This window comes from Homo sapiens, chromosome 14 (assembly GCF_000001405.40).
Source record: "Homo sapiens chromosome 14, GRCh38.p14 Primary Assembly".
Taxonomy (NCBI): Eukaryota; Metazoa; Chordata; class Mammalia; order Primates; family Hominidae; genus Homo; species Homo sapiens.
In genome coordinates, this window is record NC_000014.9 from 71,541,438 (window position 1) to 71,564,753 (window position 23,316).

Genomic DNA, 23,316 nt, shown 5'->3' on the forward strand with positions numbered 1-23,316 from the left:
GATGGGCCAGTGCATGTTTCTTTCTATAAAAGTTAATCTCAGCCAGAAGCGGCAGCTCATGCCTATAATCCCCCAGCACTTTGGGAGGCCAAGGTGAGAGGATTGCTTGAGCCCAGGAGTTTGAGACCACCCTGGGTAACATAGTGAGACCCTATCGCTACATAAATAAGAATTAAAAAATAAAAATTAGCCGGGCATGTTGGCACACACCTGTAGTCCTAGCTGCTTGGGAGGCTGAAGCAGGAGGATTACTTGAGTCTAGAAGGTCAAGGCTGCAGTGAGCTATAATTATGCTACTGCATTCCAGCCTGGGTGACAGAGTGAAACTCTGTCTCTGACAACAGCAACAGAAACATTAAGGTATGTTGACACAATGCATACATCATTCAAAACAGAGATTCTAGTGCCAGTTATTGTGTCATTATTTTTAGATAAGTATTGTAGCCATTGCACAGTAATAGCTCAAGGCTCCCCATTCCATATATTTCCCATTGGATGGCACAAAGGAATTCTAAAACACGTAAGGATCAGTAATAACTTACTGACTTTGGGGTTAAGGGACAGGAGGAAATCAATGGCACGACCATGGATCCAACCTGCTAGAGAATGAACTTACTTCCCAGTCCCCCAACTCCTTATTTCTATATTTTTATTTTTTTAGAAATAGGGTCTTACTCTATCACCCAGCCTGGAGTACAGTGCACAGTCGTAGTTCACTGGCAGGCTTGAACTCCTGGGCTCCAGCTCAAGCCGTCCTCCCCACTCAGCCTCCCAAGTAGTTAGGTGTGCACCACCATGCCTGGCTCCTCCTCCTCCTCCTCTTCTTCTTCTTCTTCCTCTTCCTCTCCTCTTCCTCTTCTCCTCTTCCTCCTCCTCCTCTTCCTCCTCTTCCTCTTCCTCCTCCTCCTTCTTTCCTCTTTCTTCTTCTTCCTGCTGCTGCTGCTGCTGCTTCTTCCTGCTGCTGCTGCTGCTTCTGCTTCTTCTTCCTGCTGCTGCTGCTGCTTCTGCTTCTTCTTCCTGCTGCTGCTGCTGCTTCTGCTTCTGCTTCTTCTGCTTCTTCTCCTCGTCGTCCTTCCTCTTCCTCCTCCTCCTCTTCCTCCTCCTCTCTTCCTCCTCCTCCTCTTCCTCCTTCTCTTCCTCCTCCTTCTTCTTCCTCCTCCTCCTCTTCCTCCCCCTCCCCCTCCTCCTCCCCTTCTTCTTCCACTTCTTTCTTCCCCTCCTCCTCCTCCCTCCTCCTCCTCCTCCTTCCTTCTCCCTTCTCCTCCTCCCTCCTCCTCCTCCTCCTCCTCCTCCTCCTTCTTCTCTCTCTCTCTTTTTTTTTTTTTTTACGAGATACAGTCTTGCTATGTTGCCCAGGCTGGTGTGGAATTCCTAGGATCAAGCAATCCTCCTTCCTGCCTTGGCCCAAAGTGCTGGGATTACAGGCATGATCCTCTGTGCCCTGCCCCTTCATTTCTTCTGTGTTCTATTCTTAACTTTGTATGTTTCTCAACTTTTATGAAGTCCTACTCTTTTCTGTAGCTAACGTCTTTGTTCTGTCTTTACCAGTCCCTCTCTTCTCTGGGATGTGAATTCTCTAATTGTGTCATTGCACTTACTCCTCCTTCCTCATCTCTTCATGCTTTTTCTGTGTCTGTAAATCTTCTCTGGCTCTTTCCTGTCCTCTCCAGCACCCACTGCCCCATCCACTCTCAGATCTTTTCCATTCTCTCTCTTCTTGCTTCCAGTATGTCACAAAAAGTGAAGGAGTGGGAGAATTACCCCATCACTCTTTTTTATCTTTATTCTTAATTCTTAAAAGTTCTTTTTAAATTTGGGTATTATATATCCAACAAAATGCAAAGGTCTTAGTTGTCCTTTAAGATTTGGGTTTCTGATTATTGGCTGTTAGGAATAAGATTGCTATCAACATTCTTGTACAAGTCATTTTGTTGACATGGAATTTCATTTCTCTTGGGTGATACCTAGGAAGAGAATAATTGGGTCATAGGATAGATGTATATTTTACTATGTAAGAAACTGCCCAACTGTTTTTCTGAAATGGCTGTGCCATGTTATAGTTGCACCAGCAATTCATGAGGGTTCCAGTTGCTCCACATTTCTTACCAGTATTTGGTATTATCAGTTTTTAAATGAACTTTTAGCTCTTCTGCTGGGTGTTTAATAGTATCTCATTATGATTTTAATTTGCTATTTCCTGATGACTGATTTTGAGCATCTTTTTATGTGCTGATTGGCCATTCATGCGGTCAGTAACTTTTTTCTTTTTTTTTTTTTTGCAGTGTCTTTTGCAAGTCTTGACTGTTTTTCTAAATTATCTTCGTTGTCTTTTAATTGCTGATTTGTAAGATTATATATGTATATAATGTATGTATATGTATGTGTATATATACATATATCATATGTATGTGTATATATACATATATCATACGTATGTGTATATATACATATATCATACGTATATGTGTGTATATATACATATATCATACGTATATGTGTGTATATATACATATACGCACATGTATGTATATATACACACACGCACATGTATATATACACACACGCACATGTATATATACACATACGCACATGTATGTATATACACACGCACGCACATGTATGTATATACACACGCACGCACATGTATGTATATACACACGCACATGTATGTATATACACATATATGCACGTGTATGTATATACATATATGCACGTGTGTGTATATGTACATATATGCACGTGTGTGTATATATACATATGCATGTATGCACATGCATGTGTATATACATATATCATGTATGTATACACATATGTATATACACATGATATGTGTATATACATATGTGTATATACATATATATCATGTGTGTATATACATATATGTATATACATATATCATGTGTGTGTATATACATGTATCATATGTGTATATATGATTTCTTTGTCAGATATGTATATTATGAATACTTTTCCTTGTCTGTAGCTTGCCTGTTCATTTTCTTAACGATGTCTCTTGATGAACAAAAAGTTTAATAAGTCAAATTTCTTGAGTTTTTTTCATGGTTAACGCTGTACTATGTGTTACCTAAGAAATCTGCTTAGCCAATATTGGGAAGATATTTTCCTATGTTTACTCCGAGAAGCTTTAGGGTTTTGTCTTTTACTTTTAGGTTGATAAACCATCTCTAATTTTTTTTGAGTGTGAAATGAAACAACTGTTAAGGTTTACTTGCACTGTTTTCCTGTTTCTATCTAGTACCATTTGTTGATAATACTGTTCTTTTCCCATTGAGCTGAGTTAGTTCTTGGTTGAAAATCAGTCGACTATATACGTGTGAGTCTCTTCTGTTCCACTGGTCTCTTTGTTCTTAAGTCAATTATACACTGTCTTGAATACTGTAGCTTTATAAAGGCTTCAAATCAGGTAATTAAGTTCTCTAACTTTATATTTTTTTAAATTTTTATTTTTTAGAGATGTGCAGTGGCATGATCATAGCTCACTGCAGCCTTGAATCCCTGGGATTGAGTGATCTATCTGCCTCAGCCTTCCAAGTGTCTAGGACTACAAATATACACCACCATGCCCAGTTAATTTTTATTTTTGTAGAGGTGCTATCTCACTATGTTGCTCAGGCTGGTCTCAAACTTCTGGACTCAAGCAGTCCTCCTGCCTTGGCTCCCCAAAATGCTAGGATTATAGGCATGAGACACTGCACCCAGCCTCATTCTTGCCTTTTAATTGCTTTGTATATTATAGATCCTTTGAATATCCCTGTAAATTTTAGAATCATTTGTCATTAAAAAAATAAATAAAAGCCAATTAGATTTTGACTGGGATTTCATTGATACTGTTTTTCAGTCTGTGGAGAATAGACATTTTAATAATACTGAGTATTCCATTTACGAACCTCTTCACTTAACTTCTCAGCAGTGTTGTGTAGTTTTCAATATAGATGTTTTGTACATCTTTCATTAGATATAGATTTTCATTAGATATACTGGATTTTCTGTGATCCTCTAAGTAGTGTATTTCAAATTCCATTTTGTTGTTCACTTGCTAGTACTCAGACATAACAATTGCTGTTTGTGTATTGACCTGATATCCTGCAAACCTCCTAAATTCAGTTGCTAGTTCTAATTTGTGTGTGTGTGTGTGTGTGTGTGTAGTTGTCATATGTGATCATGATTGCTTCTGTTAATAATGACAGTTTTATTTGTTCCTTTTCCATCTTTATACATTTTTAAACTCCTTTTTCTGGCCCATCGAACTAGCTAGAACTTGCTGTGGAGTGCTAAGTAGGAGTAGTGAAAATGGACATCTTGCATTATTCCTGATCTTAAGAAAAAAGTATTCATTGTTTCACTGTTAAGTCTCATATTTGGCTGGGTATGGTGGTGCATGCCTATAATCCTAGCACTTTGGGAGGCTGAGGTGGGAGAATTGCCTGAGTCCAGAAATTTAAGACCAGCCTGGGCAACACAGTGAGAACCCATCTCTACAAAAAATAAAAAATTAGCCAGGATTGATAGCACATGGCTGTAGTTCCAGGCTGTCGCAAAAGGTGAGCCCAGGAGTTCGAGGCTGCAGTGAGCTGGGATTGTCCCACTGCACTCCAGCCTGGGAAACAGAGCGAGACCCTGTCTCAGGAAAAAAAAAGAGAGAGAGAAAAAGTCTCATACTTAGGTTTTTTACACTGTGGCTTCTGCTTTTAAAGCCCTATAATTTTGTGAGCTCCTATTTTTTAAGTTCACAATGTTCAATCTACATATTAAGCTTTCTTGTGCTTGTGATGTTACTGCATTACTCCCATTTTTCTGTTTTCTGCCTCTTTTTCCAAGCAGTTACTTGTTGCTTTTTCCCCTTGGCTCTTCTACTTTTGCGAACATAGCTTCTTCTCTTTTACTCTCTTCTCTCTGTATTGTTTTTTCTTTTTCTTTCTTTTTTTTTTTTTTTTTGAGATGGAGTCTCGCACTGTCCCCCAGGCTGGAGTGCAGGTGCAGTGGCACAATCTCAGCTCACTGCAACCTCCGCCTTCCAGGTTCAAGCAATTCTCCTGCCTCAGCCTCCTAAGTAGCTGGGATTACAGGTGCACGCCATCACGCCTGGCTAATTTTTGCATTTTTAGTAGAGATGGGGTTTCATCATGCTGGCCAGGCTTGTCTCGAACTCCTGACATCAAGTTATCTACCGTGCCCGGCCTGCATTCATTTGCTTTTAATGAATTCCTTTTTTAATGAATTCTTATTTATCAAATATTTATTGAGCAGGTACAATATGACTAACCGTGTTAGTATCTGAAGCTATACAAGTTGATGAAACATGGTCTCTGTCCTTAAAGAGCTCACTGTAAAGCATGGAAAGTAATGGATGCTTCCCTTGGACCTCTTTGGAAGGAATGGACATCTCACTTGATCTGGTGAGGGTCAGTGAAAAGGCCTACTGAAGGAGTTGATTGTACCACTTATTTTTGCTCCTTTTGTGCAGTCATCCAAGATTGAGGATCGGTTTTCTTTTTTTTCCTTCACATGTGATTATACCTCTTCTCAATTGTTTTCATGCCACAATTTCCAAATCTAGCCAGAAGCGTAGTTGTCAGAACTATATTGTGGTGCTTATTGCCTTGTACCCTATGTAATTTTTGTGTAAAGAGCTCCCCTAATAGCTCTTTAGCTCTTGGTGGTAGTAACTTGTTTGTCCTGATTTTTAGAAATTCTATGGAATGTTATATGTGTTAGAAACTCAAATGTTTTTGAATGAATGAACTAATTGAATAACTTTTATTTTTTGTTCATATGTGTCTTATATTTCATTATTGGATAGATTCATAAGATTCGTCACTTAATATGAAAATAACTTTTTTTTTTTTTTTTTTTTTTGAGATGGAGTCTCGCTCTGTCGAGGCTGGAGTGCAGTGGCATGATCTCGGCTTACTGCAACCTCCACCTCCCAGGTTCAAGTGATTCCGCTGCCTCAGCCTCCCAAGTAGCTGGGATTACAAGTGTGCACCACTACACCCGGCTAATTTTTGTATTTTTAGTAGAGACAGGGTTTCACTGTGTTGGCCAGGCTGGTCTCGAACTCCGTACCTCAGGTGATCCGTGCGCGTTGGCCTCCCAAAGTGCTGGGATTACAGGCATGAGCCACTGTGCCTGACCTCAAAATAGTTTTGGATTGTATTAATTTTCTAGAATAATTATTTTGTTCAAATAATAATTATTTTGTTCAACTATTCCTTTGGGGGGCTTCTTTCCTTCCACGCTGCTGGACAGTAGGATGACTCTCTAACTTGCTACTGTACCCAGAGCAGACCCTTTCCTTAAATAACAGATGCTCGTGAGCTGCACTTCAAGATTCCTGTCTTGGGTTTTTCATTCCATTTCTTCACCCAAACCAATGTCTGTTGCTCCATTTTTGTTTGCCATGGTGAAACCCTGTTTCTAGTAAAAATACAACAACCAGCTGAGCGCGGGTGGCACACGACAGTAGTCCCAACTACTTGGGAGGCTGAGGCACAAGAATCCCTTGCCTCTCTTATTCAGTAGCTCTGCTTATTCTTGTAAAGCCATAATGACATCACAGAATAGATTTTATTTTTGAGCAGGTACCAACTAGTGATTATTTTTAGATAATTAAATTATAAAACCATGAACAATGCCTTATTGCAAATGTAATGGTTATGTGAGGCATTGTTTAGTGATTTCATTGGAATGAAGGTGAAACAAAGGCATTTAATTTTTTTCAAATTGAATTATGTATTTCTTTCAGGCAAACATGTGCTACTTAGTATCCATTAAATATGAGGGCATATAGCTTAATTTTGCTTAAGTGTAAGGTCAGAAGTCTTTAAACTCAACTGTGTAATGAAGTCTGCTGTCAGCGTTTTATTTACTAAATTTTTATCATTTACAAAATTTGAAATAATTTTGAAAGATAAATTGTCTTTTATCACCAGTAGATTTTTTTTATTTATATCCTTGTGGGGAGGAGTGTGGTGATCATATTTAGATATCAGATAAAATCAGTGTGCATGGAAATGTTACGTGTGCCTTAAAAATGTAGTTATCAACTTTGAATCAACAGAAAAATAAGTGTTTTAAGTGTAATTTACATTAGGATGTTTACATTTCTAATATTCTTAAGAAAGTAAATGTGGTATTTAGTATAAAAATGAAATGAGGCCGGACATGGTGACTCACACCTGTAATCTCAGCACTTTGGGAGGCCGAGGTGATCGGATCGCTTGAGGCCAGGAGTTCCAGACCAGCTTGGGCAACATGGTGAAACCCTGTCTCTAGTAAAAATGCAACAACCAGCTGAGCGCAGGTGGCACACGACAGTAGTCCCAACTGCTTTGGAGGCTGAGGCACAAGAATCCCTTGAACCTGAGAGGCAGAGGTTGCAATGAGCTGGGATGGCTCCACTGTACTCCAGCCTGGAGACTGTCTCCAAAAAAAAAAAAAAAAAAAAAGTGAAATGAAAAGGCATGCTTATATAGTGAGATATAGCTTAAAGTTTATTTGACTATGAGCAATTAAGCCTTATCAATTCAGAGGTTACTATTAATTGTTTATAATTTTAAACCCAAGTCTGCTTTTTCTCTTTTCCTTACATATGATAAAAATGCCTCACTTTTATTAAACTTAATAAGAGTTTAAAATAATTCAGCATTTAAGTGGTTTTAAGTGCTGGAGAAAGATTTGGAATGCGTTTTTCAAGGGTGACCTTGGTGGCTCCCTTGGCCTTCCAGGGGGCCCACAGTGACAGGTCCATTTATCAGTAGATCGGGATTACTAGGTGTAATTTATTCCCATTAATTGCCTGTCTCTGGAATTCTACCTTTTCATTCACCTCATCATCTAGGGAAGAGACTACCTTTTTTTTTTTCTTTTTTAAATGCCGAGATTTCTTGTTCTCCCTAGCCATGATGCTTGCCCTCACAGAGAAGGAGCTGTCCCATATGTGAACCAAGTAATTCTGCTGACAGCCGTTCCAAGTCCCAGGATCTCTTTTGATTATTTCTGATGTTTTATTTATTCTCTTATTATTTCTGCCTAGATTGGCCAGAAAGAGTTAGATTTGAAGGTCAGCTGCAAACATCTCGTATTTTTAATCACAAGTTGGCCAATTGGGAGGTTTCTAACCAGTTCCTTGAAATAGGTCACCAGACACATTGTACGAATCCCAGAGTTTAATGGGCCATCTGTTGGGTCACTCTGGTAATTGTTCCTTTTTATAAATTCCAATGTACCCAGTTAAGTTGAAGCAAAGGTTGTTAGACTCTTCATGTGCTGAACAGTGGGACCCTCTCAACTGAAACTTGCCCTCAGAGAGTTTTTGTTGACTCCATTTCTTATGTATTTCTTCCTCAATAGTGAGAGTTTGGTTTTTTTAATTGCGGAAGTTGACGGTCATGCTTGCTGAAGATAATTAGAAAAGTGGGGAAGTAGTACTGCTTGGGATTAGGAAAAATGAGGCCAATCATTTGGCTGTAGCAATAGTGGGATTTCTTTGCAAAGAAGCTTTGGACAAGGCGAAGGGAGCTGGGTGTGGTGGCTCACACCTGTGATCCCAACACTTTGGGAGGCTGAGGTAGGAGAATCACTTGAAGCCAAGACTTGGAAACCACAGCGAGACCCTGTATCTACAAAAAATTTTCAAAAAAATTAGCCAGGTGTGTTGGTGCGTGCACTTGTAGTCCCAGGTACTTGCGAGGTTGAGGTGGACGGATCACTTGACCCCAGAAGTTTGTTGCAGTGAGTTGTGATGACGCTGCTGCACTCCAGCCTGAGTGACAGAGTGAGACACTGTCTCAAAAACAGAAATTTTTTTTTAAGTTTAAAAAAGCCAAAGGGAAATGATGGACAATAAACTTGCTCCATGCAGCTGGGTTTCTCTGTGACTCTTAGGAGAGGACCTCAGAAAAGGTATAGTGTGGAGTAGTCTAGAGCTGAAGTTATAAGCAAAGCAGTTTGTTAGCTCACTGAAAACATCTGAAATGTGAATTTTACTTGGTGTTTCTGATTTTCTGGTAAGATCTGGAAAGTGAGAGTCAAAACATGGAGTTCAAGTCTGAAGGGCAGTGAGTGTGTTGATGGAGAACCAGACTGAGGCAGATGTCTTTCAGTATATTATCTGTGAAAAAGAGAAAGACAGCTCCGTTCTGGGCTGGTTTCTCTTCTCTCTCAAAGCGATGTTATCTAGTTGCATGACTTGAAATATCCTCTGTATGCCTCTCTTGTTCCTAACTCTGCTTATCCAACTCTTCAGACTTGTATTTCCAATTACTTTTCTGATATTTCCACCTTTATGTCCAATAGACATCACTAATTTAACATGGTCAACAAAGAATTATGAGCAATCCCAGCACTTAGGGAGGCTGAAGCAGAAGGATTGCTTGAGCCCAGGAGTTTGAGACCAGCCTGAGCAACAAAGCGAGATTCTATCTCTACAAAAAATAAAGATTAGCTGGGCATGGTGGCATGTACCTGTAGTCCCAGCTACAGCTAGTTCCAGCTAGTGCCCGGGTCATTTCCCTTTCCTCTCCAGCCACACTGGCACTTTTTACCTTGGACACGCTGTTTGTTCATATCCTAGGGTCTTTCCACTTGCTCTTCCCTCTGCCTGGAACATTCATGCCTTGTGTAGCTGATTCCTTTATGATATTTAGTCATTTAGTCATATCATCTTAAATGACTTCTTTGCAAAGAGGCCTTCCTTGACCAAATCAGTTGAGGCTGATGTGGGAGGATCGTTTGATCCCAGGAATTGGAAGCTGTAGTGAGCTGAAAAACAAAACAAAAACCTTGATGTGTGTCTAGGGTAATGAGCTCATCCTTGTTTCCTGGGACTTTCTTGGTTTTGACACTGAAGTCTCACATTCTAGGAAACCTCTTCTTCCCAGGCAAACCAGGATGGCTAGTCTCCCTATTTATAGTCCTTAAACCTGTTTCTGTCTCACTTGAAATTCCTTGGGAGAATCATCTGTCCAGTTGCTCAAGCTAAGCATTCAGCAGTTATCCCTGATTCATCTCTTTCTAAACCCATCAGTAACATATTTCTTAACCACATCTAATCCATCAGTATGCCTAGTTGGCTCTACTACCAAAAGTGTCCAACTCTGTCTGCTTCTCTGCATCTCTGCTGATCCCACCTTAATGCAAGCTGGTTTGATCTTGAGCTGCGTTATGTCATGAGACAGTGATGTGGAACCTGCAACCTTTCATGTTGCTCTTAAAGTCCAACCCCATACCAGGCCCTGCAAGCTTCCTCACAGCCCCACACCATCTGTCTTTTCTTTTCTGGGTCATTTCCCTTTCCCCTCCAGCCACACTGGCACTCTTTACCTTGGACACGCTGTTTGCTCATGTCCCAGAGTCTTTCCACTTGCTCTTCCCTCTGCCTGGAACATTCATGCTTTGTGTTACTGATTCCTTCATGACATTTAGTCATCTTATCTTAAATGACTACTTCACAAAGAGGCCTTCCTTGACCAAATCAGTTTAAAGTAGCCAGCCAGCCAGCCACTCTTGATCATATTACTATATTTTAATTTTCTGCATGGCACTTCTAGCCATCTGACGTTTATCTTGTTTATTGATTTGCTTGTTCTCACTCTCCCCTACTAGACTGTAAGCCCCTCAAGAGTGATGGCTTTGATTGCTGTACCCGCCATCCTTTCCCCAGGCTTTAGGACAGTTCACAGAACAAGGGCCAGAAAATATTATTAATTGTAGTAAAGAATAAATGTATCCTAAGCCATTTAATTAAAACTTTGAGATCTTGAAAGTTTTAGCAAGCAAGAACCAGTAAGTGGAAATTAATTGTACCATAGCTATTATTACTACCACAAAAGGTACAGAATATCATTGATATTATCTTCATTTAATAGGTTATACTGATTTTATGTTAGCTAAAATTTTAGGTTTATTTACAAATGTATTTTCCCATACCCTATTTCTTTTTTTTTTTTTTGAGACGGAGTCCCGCTCTTTAGCCCAGGCCGGATTGCAGTGGCACAATCTCGGCTCACTGCAAGCTCCGCCTCCCAGGTTCACGACATTCTCCTGCCTCAGCCTCCCGAGTAGCTGGGACTACAGGCGCCCGCCACCACGCCCGGCTAATTTTTTTTTTTGTATTTTTAGTAGAGACGGGGTTTCACCGTGTTAGCCAAGATGGTCTCGATCTCCTGACCTTGTGATCCGCCCGCCTCGGCCTCCCAGAGTGCTGGGATCCTGTTTCTTTTAAGCTGGTAATTTATTGAATGGTTGAACTTTTCTCCTGCAGCAGCTTTTGAGTTTGTATCCTTAGTATGAAAGTTCAGTCATTCCATACATCAGTCTGTGGGGACTACCGAGTGCCTTGGAGCCTTCCTTCCTTACTTTGACCTAAGGGACTGTCTTTTGGAACTTGAGTGGTTATAAATCTGCACATTTCAGTGTCGAAAGTATTTCTAAACCAGGGTCTCAACCTTAGGACTCTGGCATTTGGGGTCAGATAATTTTGTTGTGAAGGGCTGTGGAATTACATGTTCAGCTGCATCCCCGGCCTCTACCCACGAGATGCCAATAGCGCCTCCTCAGTTCAGATTGCCGATATCTCCAAATGCTGCTTAGTGTCACTCTGGAGGGCAGAGTCTCCCCTGTTGAAATCCACTCTTCTAAGCAATGAATACTTTTTCTTCTATTTCCTTTATACTGAGAGATAATAATTTTTAAAAAATCAGATAGAAATCTGGCTCAGCTTTTTTGGTGGGGTGAATGTAGCAGATTTTTAAAAGCTATTATAAGGAAAGATTGTTCATCTTCCACCATTACTAAGTTATAAGAATCTATTTTCAACTTGTATGTTTCTATAATTCCACAGTACACTTTGTGTTAGGAACCCTAAAATATTCTGGGGGAATTTGTTCTTTCAGTGTTTCTATATTTTTCGCCTGCTCCCATCACCATGGAGCTAAACACTTTGAGACATGTTAAGTTAAAAACAGTAATGACAGAAGAGGAAAAAACATTTTGCTTCTGCATTCTTTTTTCCTCTCTTCTCTTCCTCCTTACCTCAGTCAGCCAAATAGGGTATTAGTTTGAATGTTTTAATTGGATGTCAAGATAGGAAAGGCATGTTTTTCAGAGCTTATTTTTTCTTAGGAAATGCTAACAGTATAATTTGAACAGACCTGTGAATTGATATTCTGAGATAAGGTAAAATATACCAGGAATGTGTAGGGAAGGAGACTTTTTCCTTGGCCTGAACCCATTTTATAGATTTCTGTGCTTCAGAGATCCCATTGTATTGTTTAGGTAGGGCTACTCTACATCATATACAATTCTTTTTTTTTCATATAGAAAACAAATATCAGAATGTATGTAACCTAGTTTTTAGTGTAGAACTGATTGATTCATTGAATAAATGCAATTCTTGTCAGCTTTCTTAAATTGAGACCTTAGCATAGTGTTTTGTATAAAGTAACTAGAGACAGACTATTTTTCAGATTGTGGTTTGTGTTTGAAATTCATGTCCTCATCCAGGTACAGACTTTGAACTTTGGCCTATCTGAATGGAATATTCCGTTCAGTCCTTTCAAATGTAGCAAGAATGAATATAAAATTAGAGAAAAAAGTTTTCTTTCTTAATATTTACGACCTGTAGCATCTTCTGTTAGTTTGTAGGAACATGGTACTGATACGTTATTTCTGTTCAGCAAAGGTAGTTTAGAGATTTTTTTCTGTTTAAGATACAGTATTTTTTTTTCTGAACAAATTAATGTCTTGATATTGAACCTTGGTTTCACTGTGCTCAAACCTTCAAATGTTAATTTAAGGAAGTTTAGATTCCTCATTTCTTTTTAAACAGTATTACTGCTTTCTTTGCACACATGAAGCCATGATATTGAATTTAAAAGCAGATGACCTTAAAATCGTGCAACTTAAACACCACAGACTTAAAAATAAAAAATATAAAGATTTTTAAAGAAGAAAGTTAAAAAAATGTATCTGCTTTTCTGATGTAGGCTGGTGAGAAAAGATGTTCTTTTTCTGTTGCTTTCAGTCTTTAGCTCCCTGTCAGTTCTGCCCCACTGTGAAACCGAAGATGTTCTCAGCATTCTTGAGTAACACTTCCCACAGGTGACCTTCTGTATAAAGAGAGCTTGTTGTTGTTGTTGTTAACTTCTATATTGATAAGAAAAAGATAACAGTTCACAAATTACAACATCCTGTGATTTGATTCTTCATAAAATTTTTTGGTGAGGTTTTGGGAATTTCATTCTTGTTCCCCTGATCTGCTACACTTGGGCTACCACACTTTTTATAATATTTATTGCTATAAACATAGTTTGGGAGCATTTAGGTTGTTTATAGCTCCTTGCTATCCTAAATAATGCTGTGATGAACCCTTTTTTTGCACAGAATTTTGTCTTTTGAATTGTTTCCTTAAAAAATACTCAGGAATAAAATAACTGGGAAAAAAAGTATGTAAGCATTTTAAAGGCTCTCGATACATATTCCTAATTTAAAAAAAAAACAACAATTTCACTCTTCCAGTAGCTAATGAGCACATTTTATAAAAATTAATACCTCTTATTTTTCTTAAAGCATACTTAAGGGCCCTACGATTTTCAGATTGTAAATAAGCATTGGCTTCAACTTTAAGTCTCCAGCTGCATTAGCCCCTAATAAGAGAGTCAGACTGTTCTTTGAACCTTTGAAGCCAGGCATTGACTTCTCCTCTGTAGCTATGAAAGTCCTGGATGACATTTTCTTCTAAGAGAAGGCTGTTTCATCTATACTGAAAATCTGTTGTTTATTGTAGTCACCTTATCAATCATTTTAGCTAGATCTTCTGGATAACTTGCTGGTGAGCTTGCACTTTCATGTTATGGAGACAGCTTCCTTCCCGAAACCTGATGAACCAATGTCTGCTGGCTTCTAACTCTTCTTCTGAGTTTCTTCACCTCTCTCAGCCTTCATAGAATTGAAGAGAGTTAGGGCCTTGCTCTGGATTAGGCTTTGGTTTAAGAGAATGTTGTGGCTGATTTGATCTTCTTTCTCTCCAGAACACTAAAACTTTCCATCTCAGCAGTAAGGCTGTTTTGCTTTCTTATCATTTATGTGTTCACTGCAGTAGTACTTTTAATTTTCTTCAAAAACTTTTCCTTTGCATTCACAACTTGGCTAACTGGTACAATCCTAGCTTTCAGCCTCTCAACTTTCAAATGTCTTCCTCACTAAGCTTAATCATTTCTAGCTTTTGATTTAAAATGAGACACCTGTGACTCTTCCTTTCACTTTCAAGTTTCGCTTGAACTTAGAGGCCATTCTAATTTCAGTGTTGTGGTCTCAGAGACTAGAGAGCCCAAAGAGAGGGAGGCAGATGGGGAATGGCTGGTGGGTGGAGCAGTCAGAACTCAAACGACATTTGTTGATTGTTTGACATTTGTTGATTGATTGCCGTCTTCTGTGAGTGCAGTTTGTGGCATTCCCCAAAAGATTAGTAGTAACATCAAAGATCACAGATTAGAAATCACCAAAACAGATGTAATAATATGACAAAGTTTGACATATTGTGGGAATTACCAAAATGTGACACAGAGACAGGAAGTGAGCACATGCTGTTGGAAAAATAGCACTGACAGACTTGCTCAATGCAGGGTTGCCTCACACCTTCAATTTGTAAAAAAAACACCTGCAAAGTGCAATAAAGTGAAGTGCCATAAAATGAGGTGTGCCTGTATTGTATTTATTGAACAGAAACATTTTTCAAATGTTTAACCAATTTTTTCTTTTGTGAATTGCCTACTGTTTCAGAAAAACTCTCAAACCGTGTCTTTCCTCTGCTTTCATACCACCATGACAATCATCAACACAGAAAACACTTCTGTGACAAAAGCTGTGGGTTTTTTTCTCCACATGCCAAACAGCGTACACTGGCTGGATGTTCTCAATTCAGTTCCAACACTATCCACCCTAAGATAGTGTCAGATTCCACAGGTTGGGGGCTCAGTCCCCAAGACTGCCCCTTACATCTTTGGACATCATTGGTAAATCCAGGCCTCCAGACTTCTGACTGACCAACTTTAAGTTGGTGTTCCCACAACCCCATGTTTGGGTTTAATTAATTTGCTGGAGCAGCTTACAGAACTCAGGGAAACATGTTTACTGATTTATTTAAAAGGATATTACAAAGGATTCAGATGAAGCGTTGTGTAGGGCAAGGTATCAGGGAAGGAGCACGGAGCTTCCGTGCCCTCCTTTGGCGTGCCACCTTCCAAGAACTTCTACATGTTCACCTCTCCAGAAGCTCTTCAAACCTGGTCCTTTGGGTTTTTATACAAGGAGGTTTTATTACATGGCCTGGTTGACAACCGTGTAGAAATGTGATTGGACAAAAAGCACATTATCTAAATCCAGCAAGGCCTGTCTATTCAGACTTTTCTTGGCCTTTCTGTGTAGCTTTCCTTCCCGTAGGATATGGAGCAGGACTCTCTGGAATGAGTGTCTTTTGATCCACAATCAGATTAGAGCCCTGCCTTGGGCAGGTGAAAGGACAGGAGGTCAGAGAGAGAGAGATTCTGTTTCCTGAGGCCTAAAGTACCCCAGCATTATAACAAGGACTGTGGGAGTTAGGAGCTAGGAACTGTGGACAAAAACCAATATAGCTATCATAACACCATACCCATTAATACTTCTTTTCCCATTTTTCTTTTGGAATCTTAGTATTTTATCTTCCTTCACAAATCTTTGCATATATTCAGTGTATTCAGTCTGCGTTGTATTTATGGTATTTTTTAAACTAGTATTTGGTTTGCCTTTTAATGTACAGATGTTTAAAAGTTTCATGTACCCAAATCTGTCAATGTTTTCTTTTGTGATTTCTTTCATTAGTTTTGCTCATGGAAAATGTTTCCCCATTAGATATCACATTTTTTCCCTGATATTTTATTAATTTCAAACTAAGTCCTTACCACCCATTAATTTCATAAGAAAAGAAATCCACTATTTGAGAATTAGGAGCACTTTGCTGCTGATCATGGTTACTACAGGTTGTATTTTTGTAGTTCTCTGCACAAAGGGGCCACTTGCACTAATTGTTAACTTTTGGCTTTGATGTGGTACTTGAGATGTGAGTGCCTGTTTAATTCTGTGTTAATCTGTGGTTCTGTTACATTTGGATCGTTGCGAAAGTACCTTATTGAATACAAATATGAAAATGAACAAAGTAAAATAAAATTAAACTAGTCATGATTGACTCCTATGTGAGTTCATACTTTAAGAGGCCCAGAAATTGTGACTCTTTTCAGATGTAACTGATATAAAAAAACCTACCTTACTTTCCTGTGATAGTTATGGATTGTAGCATTAGGCTCAAGTTGACTGCCAACATAGTTTATGGTGATAACTGCTATATTTCTAATTTGTACAAGTTCAATTTTTTAGAAATATATAAATCCATTGAAGTGAAAATGCTTCCAATTTGCTGGAAAATGAATATTGCTAACTTACATCGTAGGTAATTATTAAGTGTTGGTTTGTGATACTTAAATCAGTTGTCTCATGATTTTTACACCAAAAACTCACTTTTAGAAGTAATATTCTTGTTGGCATTCCAGGTGACATAGGTAAAAAAATATTTTATTGAATTTAAAGCCTAAGTATGTAGTGATACTCTTACATCATATGTTTGTTTATTGTCTGTCTCTCAAAGTAAATATAAACATTTTTAGGGCAGTATTTTCAGCATGTAGAATGATGCCTCAAATATTTATGGAATAATGGATATTTGTTGAGTGAATATCAGGGCACGGACTTAAAATTATAGGAAAAAGAAATACTTCTGCTTGAGTACCTAGAATTTACCAGCCATTGTATGAGATGTTTGGTGATCTCATGACTATATAGAGAGCATTGTTTTTCTAAAGATGAACCTGGGTTTACCTTTGCCATTAATTTTCTGGATAACATCAAGAGTGATAGGTTTTTAGGAGACAGTAGGAAACTACAGACAGTGGAGAGCTCCATCATGTTTCAAGGTAGATTTCTCTCCTGGGAGAAGGTTACTAAAGAGCCTTAGCTAACCACTCTCTCTGTTTTCACTTGGCTGTAACCAGAACTGTAATCAGAAATGGCGTGGAAGGCTGGTGAAAGCCGTGGTTGCTGTTGAACGGGCATATGTGCACTTAGGTAGTTTGCTGATGTAGGTTTAGTTTGTGAATCTAGATAATCTGGGAGTCTCTTTTTAATTTCCTGAAGCATTTTGTTTTTGTTTTTTTAGAGACAGGATTTGCTCTGTCACCCAGGCTGAAGTACAGTGGCACAGTCATGGCTCACTATATACTCAAACCTCCAGGGTCAACCAAGTCTCCTACCTGAGCCTCCTAAATAGCTGAGACTACAGGTGCACGCCGCTACACTTGGCTAAGTTTCTTATTTTTTGTAGAGACACGGTCTTGCTGTATTGCCAAGGCTGATCTCAAGCTCCTGGCCTCAAGTGATCCTCCTGCATTGACCTCCCAAAATGTTGGGATTACTGGTGTAAGCCAGGGCACTTGGCCTTGCCGAAGCATTTTGATGCATGCAAACTAGCAGCAGATGTCAACATTTTCATTTTCTACTCAATCGTAATTTCAGCTTTACTTTTTTTTTTTTTTTTCTTGAGATGGAGTCACACTCTTATCTCCCAGGCTGGAGTGCAGTGGCGCTATCTCAGCTCATTGCAACCTCCGCCTCCCTGGTTCAAGCGATTCTACTACCTCAGCCTCCCGAGTACCTGGGATTACAGGCATGCGCCACCAGACCCAGCTAATTTTTGTATTTTTAGTAGAGAGGTGGTTTCGCCATGTTGGCCAGGCTGGTCTTGAACTCCTGACCTCAGGTGATCTGCCCGCCTCGGCCTCCCAAAGTGCTGAGATTATAGTCTTGAACCACTGTGCCCAGCCTCAGCTTTACTTTTTGTAGAGAAAGGCATCAAAAGGAAGTTTTTCCAACTTTTCTTAATAATAGGTACTTTTTATAGATTTTCCCCTGCCCAGTGGCATTGGACTCTCCCAGAAAAATTTTATGCCAGGATTGTTGTAAAATATTGTCAAGCATTCATGATTTTATCATTTATGGTGGTAAGGGTCTCATAGAGATGTTATGTGAAACACTGTAACATTTTCTTTACCTGCCAAATAAGTATAGAGTAATAAAAAGAACAATTGTTTTTAAAGCCAAAAGATTTTGACCTGGTTCCTGATTTATCATGAGTATGCTTTTAACCTGATCTATGGTTGTGAACAGAATAAAAACTTTTCTGCATTTTTTCTACGAAATTAAAATGTAATTCTTAAAATTTCCAAAAGCATGTTTTCTAACTATTGAAAAAATAAGTTTATTCCCATTCAAAGTAGAATTATATAAACTTTTTTTTTTTTGTATAAAGTTTCACTTCATGTTACTGAACTGGACTTGACATGGAAAACTTGTCCTTGAATAATCATTGAAAAATAGGCTGGGGGAGTGAGACTTTTTCATTAACACACTAAATTTATGCTCCATATGTAAGATATTTGTATATTTTTTAGTGGACTCTGATTATTGTAACTGAATTTAAAGATGCATCTTAAGACCCTACTGTAATCTACCTACCATTAATGTGTTCATTCGTTTCTTCATTCTACTTGCAAACTTCTGTTTAAACTTTATCTTTGATCAAAATATTGTCTACTTTTAGTAAAAATTAAATTGTTAAGTATTTGTGAATAAAATTCATATTTACCTATTCAGATTTACTTGTGTCAGGAATGCAGTCATCTGCAAGCATTAGAAAACCTCTCTAGTAGCATAAGCAAAAGGAAATTAATTCTCCCACATAAAAAGTAGCCCCAGAAATCAACAGTCCAGGGCTGTTACACATGTTCAGTGATGCCACAAGAGACCCTGGAGCTTTTTCCTTGATTGTGTTGGTATCTTTCCTCATGCTAGTCTTATGAATGATAAGATGGCTGTTGCTCTTCTAGGTACCATGTACTCCAGGAGGAAGAAGGGGGAGTAAGAAGGTAGCAGGTAAAGGCTAGGTGAATCAGTCCCTTTTTATCAGGAAAGCTAAAGAGTGTTGCAGGCTTCTGTTTACTTTTCATTAGTCCTGATTTAGGACTAATCTGTTCCTGACTAGTTACCCCTAAACCAGTCCATGGCCACAGGGCAAAAGAGTCCATTAGAAAATTTAGAAAATTCCTGATGTATCTTCTAGGACACACCAAGGTGTCCCACACCCACCTGAACAACTTGAGAATCTGTTGTTAGTAAAGAATTGGGAGAACAGTATGGGTTAGTTAATGGACTGTGTCTTCCATACCTGCTGGAGTGAGGACAGTATGTATTAGATAAACTTAGAAGCCCTGTGCATTTTGACTTCTTGATTCTTGGTCTTCTGGAATAAATTAGGGATTTTTTTTCAGGTTCTTCAGATATTCTTCTGTAGTCATACATATCCTGTCATTGTAGGGGATGATTTAGATATTAGGATAGCAAATACTGTGTTTTAGAGACTTCCTTGTTATTAAGTATATGATGAAATGGGAATTGAGTCATAACACTCTAAAATTGAAATTTGAAAGCTATTTAATGAATTTATGCTTTCTAAAAAGAGTTCTTTTTAGTAGCTCTCTAGAAGATTAATTTTGTTTTATTTGTAATTAAAATGGCTTGAAGATTCATTTTCAAAAAACATGGGCAATGATCATCATATATATACATTTATATTCCACTTTTTAGGCTTACCATATCATAAAATTTTTCCCATGTAGTATAGTACTTTAAAAATTGCTTTGGTGTCACAATGTACTTAATCATTTCCCAGTTATACATTTAGTTCCATTTTGTGCTGCCATTAGCAATGCTATAATTCCATCTTTATATAGGTTATTTTTAATGTTGTATATTACTTTCTTTAGATTCTTCATATTTTAATGTCTTTTGAAACATTTAGCTGATCGCAATCCAATAGCATTGTACAATCCAATAGCATTAATTCGCAGTGCCCACCAGCAAGATATAAAAATAAAAGTTTTTCTGTCAATTTCCCCAGCATTGATTATTGGCAATTAAAAATTTTTTTGTTAATTAACAAGTGAAGAATTACTTTGAATTTCTTTTATGGTAGTAAGGCTAAATATTTTCTTTCTTTTTGAGATGGAGTTTCATTCACTCTTGTTGCCCAGGCTGGAGTGCAATGGCATGGTCTCGGCTCACTGCAAACTCCTCCTCCTGGGTTCAAGCCATTCTCCTGCCTCAGCCTCCCAAGTAGCTGGGATTACAGGCATGTGCCACCACGCCCAGCTAATTTTGTATTTTTAGTAGAGACGGAGTTTCACCATGTTGGTCAGGCTGGTCTCAAATTCCTGATCTCAGGTGATCTGCCTGCCTCAGCCTCCCAAAGTGCTGGGATTACTGGCGTGAGCCACCATGCCCGGCCCAGGCTAAATATTTCCTACTTATTTTTTTTCCTCTTGTAAATGGCATTCTTCTGTTCTTGATTAGTCTGTTACTTTCTTAAGTAACACAGTATATTTTTTCACGTTGTAAAATGATACATTCTTGGTGTAGAATATTTGTTAGCCATAGACGTCACCTCACAAAGATCTATTAATATTTTTTCTGAACAATTTGTGTAAACTTTTAATGTAAGTAATTATATATTTTATTCATAATATATATACTATATTGTCTCAATCTATGTGCCTGATAGTGCATTAGACTCTTGGGGATACTATGGTCAGTATAACAAGTATCATATCTATGACATCAGAAAAAAAATGATACTTTTGTTTATTTTTCCCTAATATTTGTATCATTTCATTTTAGGACATAGTAAATTACCCAGTCTTTATAATAATAATAATTTTTTGTTGTTTAAAATAAGTGTGTTTATCAAAAATAGAACCCATAAGAAACTTCATGTAGAATTTTATTATTAAATGCTTACTTTGTGTCTGTTAAATGATTTTTACACTTTTTTCATGTTTTAGTTATATGGATTATTAACAGATTTACTAATATTGCCTAAAACTTCATTTGTGTACATCAATAATGTATCCAAAGTTGCTATTAAAGTGTTCAGCACATAATAAATGCTCAATTAATAGAATAGCTTTTTCAGTAACTTGCATGTTAAGATTGGCATCCTATTTAACCCAGAATTCGTTGGATAACCTGCTGGTTTTTATTTCATGTTTTGTTATTTGTATTTTTTTCCATGTGTATGGAACATATAATGTGTGACTTCTTAATTTAATCAGGAAATTAAAATCTCAGCTCACTGCAACTTCCACTCCCGGGTTCAAGCAATTCTCCTGCCTCAGCCTCCCAAGTAGCTGGGATTACAGGCACCTGCCACCACACCCGGCTAATTTTTTGTATTTTTAGTAGAGGTGGGGTTTTGCCATGTTGGTGAGGCTGGTCTTGAGCTCCTGACCTCAAGTGATCCGCCCGCCTCGGCTTCCCAAAGTGCTAGGATTACAGGCGTGGCCCCCTTTCTTGCTTTATTATTGTTCATAGCACTTTGTAGCATGTCAAAAAATGTTGTTATTTATTTGTTGTCTGCCTGTTTCCCTGGACTGTAACTCCATGGAAGGCAGGCAGGGACTTTTGTCAGTTTGACCAGTGCTGTAGTCTGGGTACTAAGAATAATACCTGGCGTAGAGTAGACATACAATAAATATTTGTCTAATTATTGTGATTCGTTTCAGTTGATTTCTCTTTTTATATCTCAGTTTTTGTCTTGATTTTATTTATTACTACTTGACATAAAATGTCATGTTTTAGTACAAATACTTCTTTTATCATAGCATCTAGCTTGATGTTTTTCTTTTAAACTTGACAATAATAGTACCTCCTCGTTTTTTTTTTTTAACACGATTTTGTTAAATATCTTCTTTAAAATTTTTTCTGTCTTCTTTTGGTTTGTACATCTTGGATTTCGTATTTTCTTTCTTAATACAAACTGAGGTTCTTTTAATAAGTTAAAGTAATTTGCTTTTGTTTTTGCACTTATATTACTAAGGTGTTTTTTAAAACTATGACTCCTTAAGAATTACAGTCAGTGCCTTTTGATTTATTGGACATGACATTTCCTTTTATATCTTCAAATGATTTTGAGTGTAACATCTGAACTAAGCTACTTCTCATGACCTATTTATCTCATTGCTTCTGTTCTCAATCCTATTATTATTCTGTACTACCTCACAATGCAGTGGATTTCAATTCATTCCTTTCTGCTATAGCACACACTATCTTCTTTACTGAACTTCTGTCTCCTAGGTTTGTCCTATTTTACCTCAGAGTTTCAGCTCCACTGTTTTCTTTGTGAAAGTTTTCGTAACTCTCCAGCAATCTTAGGCAGTGGTCCTGTGTATTCTTACTGCACTGTATGTATATTTCCAGGCATTTTCTTCTTATACTGCAGTGTGCTTTCCACAGTCATACAGAAAGTGGCATACAGAAAGTGCTCAGTAGATATTAGTTATGTTTTTTTCTCATTTTCCTTTTTTATTTTTAAAAAACTGGAGTCTCACTCTGTTAGGCTGTAGTGCAGTGGCACGAACACAGCTCACTGCAGCCTCCACCTTCTGTCTCAAGGGATCCTCTCACCTCAAATTCCCAAGTAGTAGGGACTACAGGCGTGTACCAGCATGCCTGGCCAATTTTTAAATTTGTTTTTTTGAGATGGAGTCTTGCTATGTTTTCTAGATTGGTCTTGAACTCCTGGGCTCAATCGATCCTCTTGCCTCAGCCTCCCAATGTGCTTAGATTACAAGCATGAGCTGCAATATCTGGCCTCATTTTCCTTCTTAATACTATTTTCTTTTATAACTTAAAGTTATACTCTCTATACTTTTCTTGGGTATAATGTGCATAAATGAATGTATTTCTGTGACTTTTTTTTTCTTTTTCTTCTTTTTTTTTTTTTAAACATACATGGAGGTCTGCTTTTGTTTCAGCAGGTACTCCATTTAGAAAAATGTGTAGTCTTCTTCCTCTTCCTTGATGTCCTGACTTCTTATCCTCGGCATTTTCTTTCTTTTTTTTTTTCCGAGACAGAGTCTCACTCTGTCGCCCAGGCTGGAGTGCAGTGGCACGATCTTGGCTCACTGCAACCTCTGCCTCCCAGGGGTTCAGGCAATTCTCCTGCCTCAGCCTCCCAAGTAGCTGGGATTACAGGCATGTGCCACCACGCCTGGCTAATTTTTTTGGTATTTTTAGTAGAGACGGGATTTTACCATGTTAGCCAGGCTGGTCTCGAACTCCTGACCTTGTGATCCGCCCGCCTTGGTCTCCCAAAGT

At 38.2% G+C, this 23,316-nt stretch overlaps 1 protein-coding gene across 54 annotated transcripts in view, besides 6 other annotated features; it reads left to right on the forward strand.

The window, feature by feature from the left end:
- Positions 1–23,316, forward strand: part of SIPA1L1 (signal induced proliferation associated 1 like 1) — a 420,734-nt gene that overhangs the window by 220,962 nt on the left and 176,456 nt on the right. The window lies entirely within an intron of this gene.
- Positions 8,898–9,057: an enhancer, noted in NCBI's record as "active region_8675". NCBI's record gives its function as "activates an Ori minimal core promoter by ATAC-STARR-seq in GM12878 lymphoblastoid cells {active_cell/tissue: GM12878}" and the evidence as "EXISTENCE:reporter gene assay evidence [ECO:0000049][PMID:35858748]".
- Positions 13,736–13,795: an enhancer, noted in NCBI's record as "active region_8676". NCBI's record gives its function as "activates an Ori minimal core promoter by ATAC-STARR-seq in GM12878 lymphoblastoid cells {active_cell/tissue: GM12878}" and the evidence as "EXISTENCE:reporter gene assay evidence [ECO:0000049][PMID:35858748]".
- Positions 13,956–14,015: an enhancer, noted in NCBI's record as "active region_8677". NCBI's record gives its function as "activates an Ori minimal core promoter by ATAC-STARR-seq in GM12878 lymphoblastoid cells {active_cell/tissue: GM12878}" and the evidence as "EXISTENCE:reporter gene assay evidence [ECO:0000049][PMID:35858748]".
- Positions 14,126–14,185: an enhancer, noted in NCBI's record as "active region_8678". NCBI's record gives its function as "activates an Ori minimal core promoter by ATAC-STARR-seq in GM12878 lymphoblastoid cells {active_cell/tissue: GM12878}" and the evidence as "EXISTENCE:reporter gene assay evidence [ECO:0000049][PMID:35858748]".
- Positions 14,606–14,705: a silencer, noted in NCBI's record as "silent region_5898". NCBI's record gives its function as "represses an Ori minimal core promoter by ATAC-STARR-seq in GM12878 lymphoblastoid cells {active_cell/tissue: GM12878}" and the evidence as "EXISTENCE:reporter gene assay evidence [ECO:0000049][PMID:35858748]".
- Positions 22,457–22,556: an enhancer, noted in NCBI's record as "active region_8679". NCBI's record gives its function as "activates an Ori minimal core promoter by ATAC-STARR-seq in GM12878 lymphoblastoid cells {active_cell/tissue: GM12878}" and the evidence as "EXISTENCE:reporter gene assay evidence [ECO:0000049][PMID:35858748]".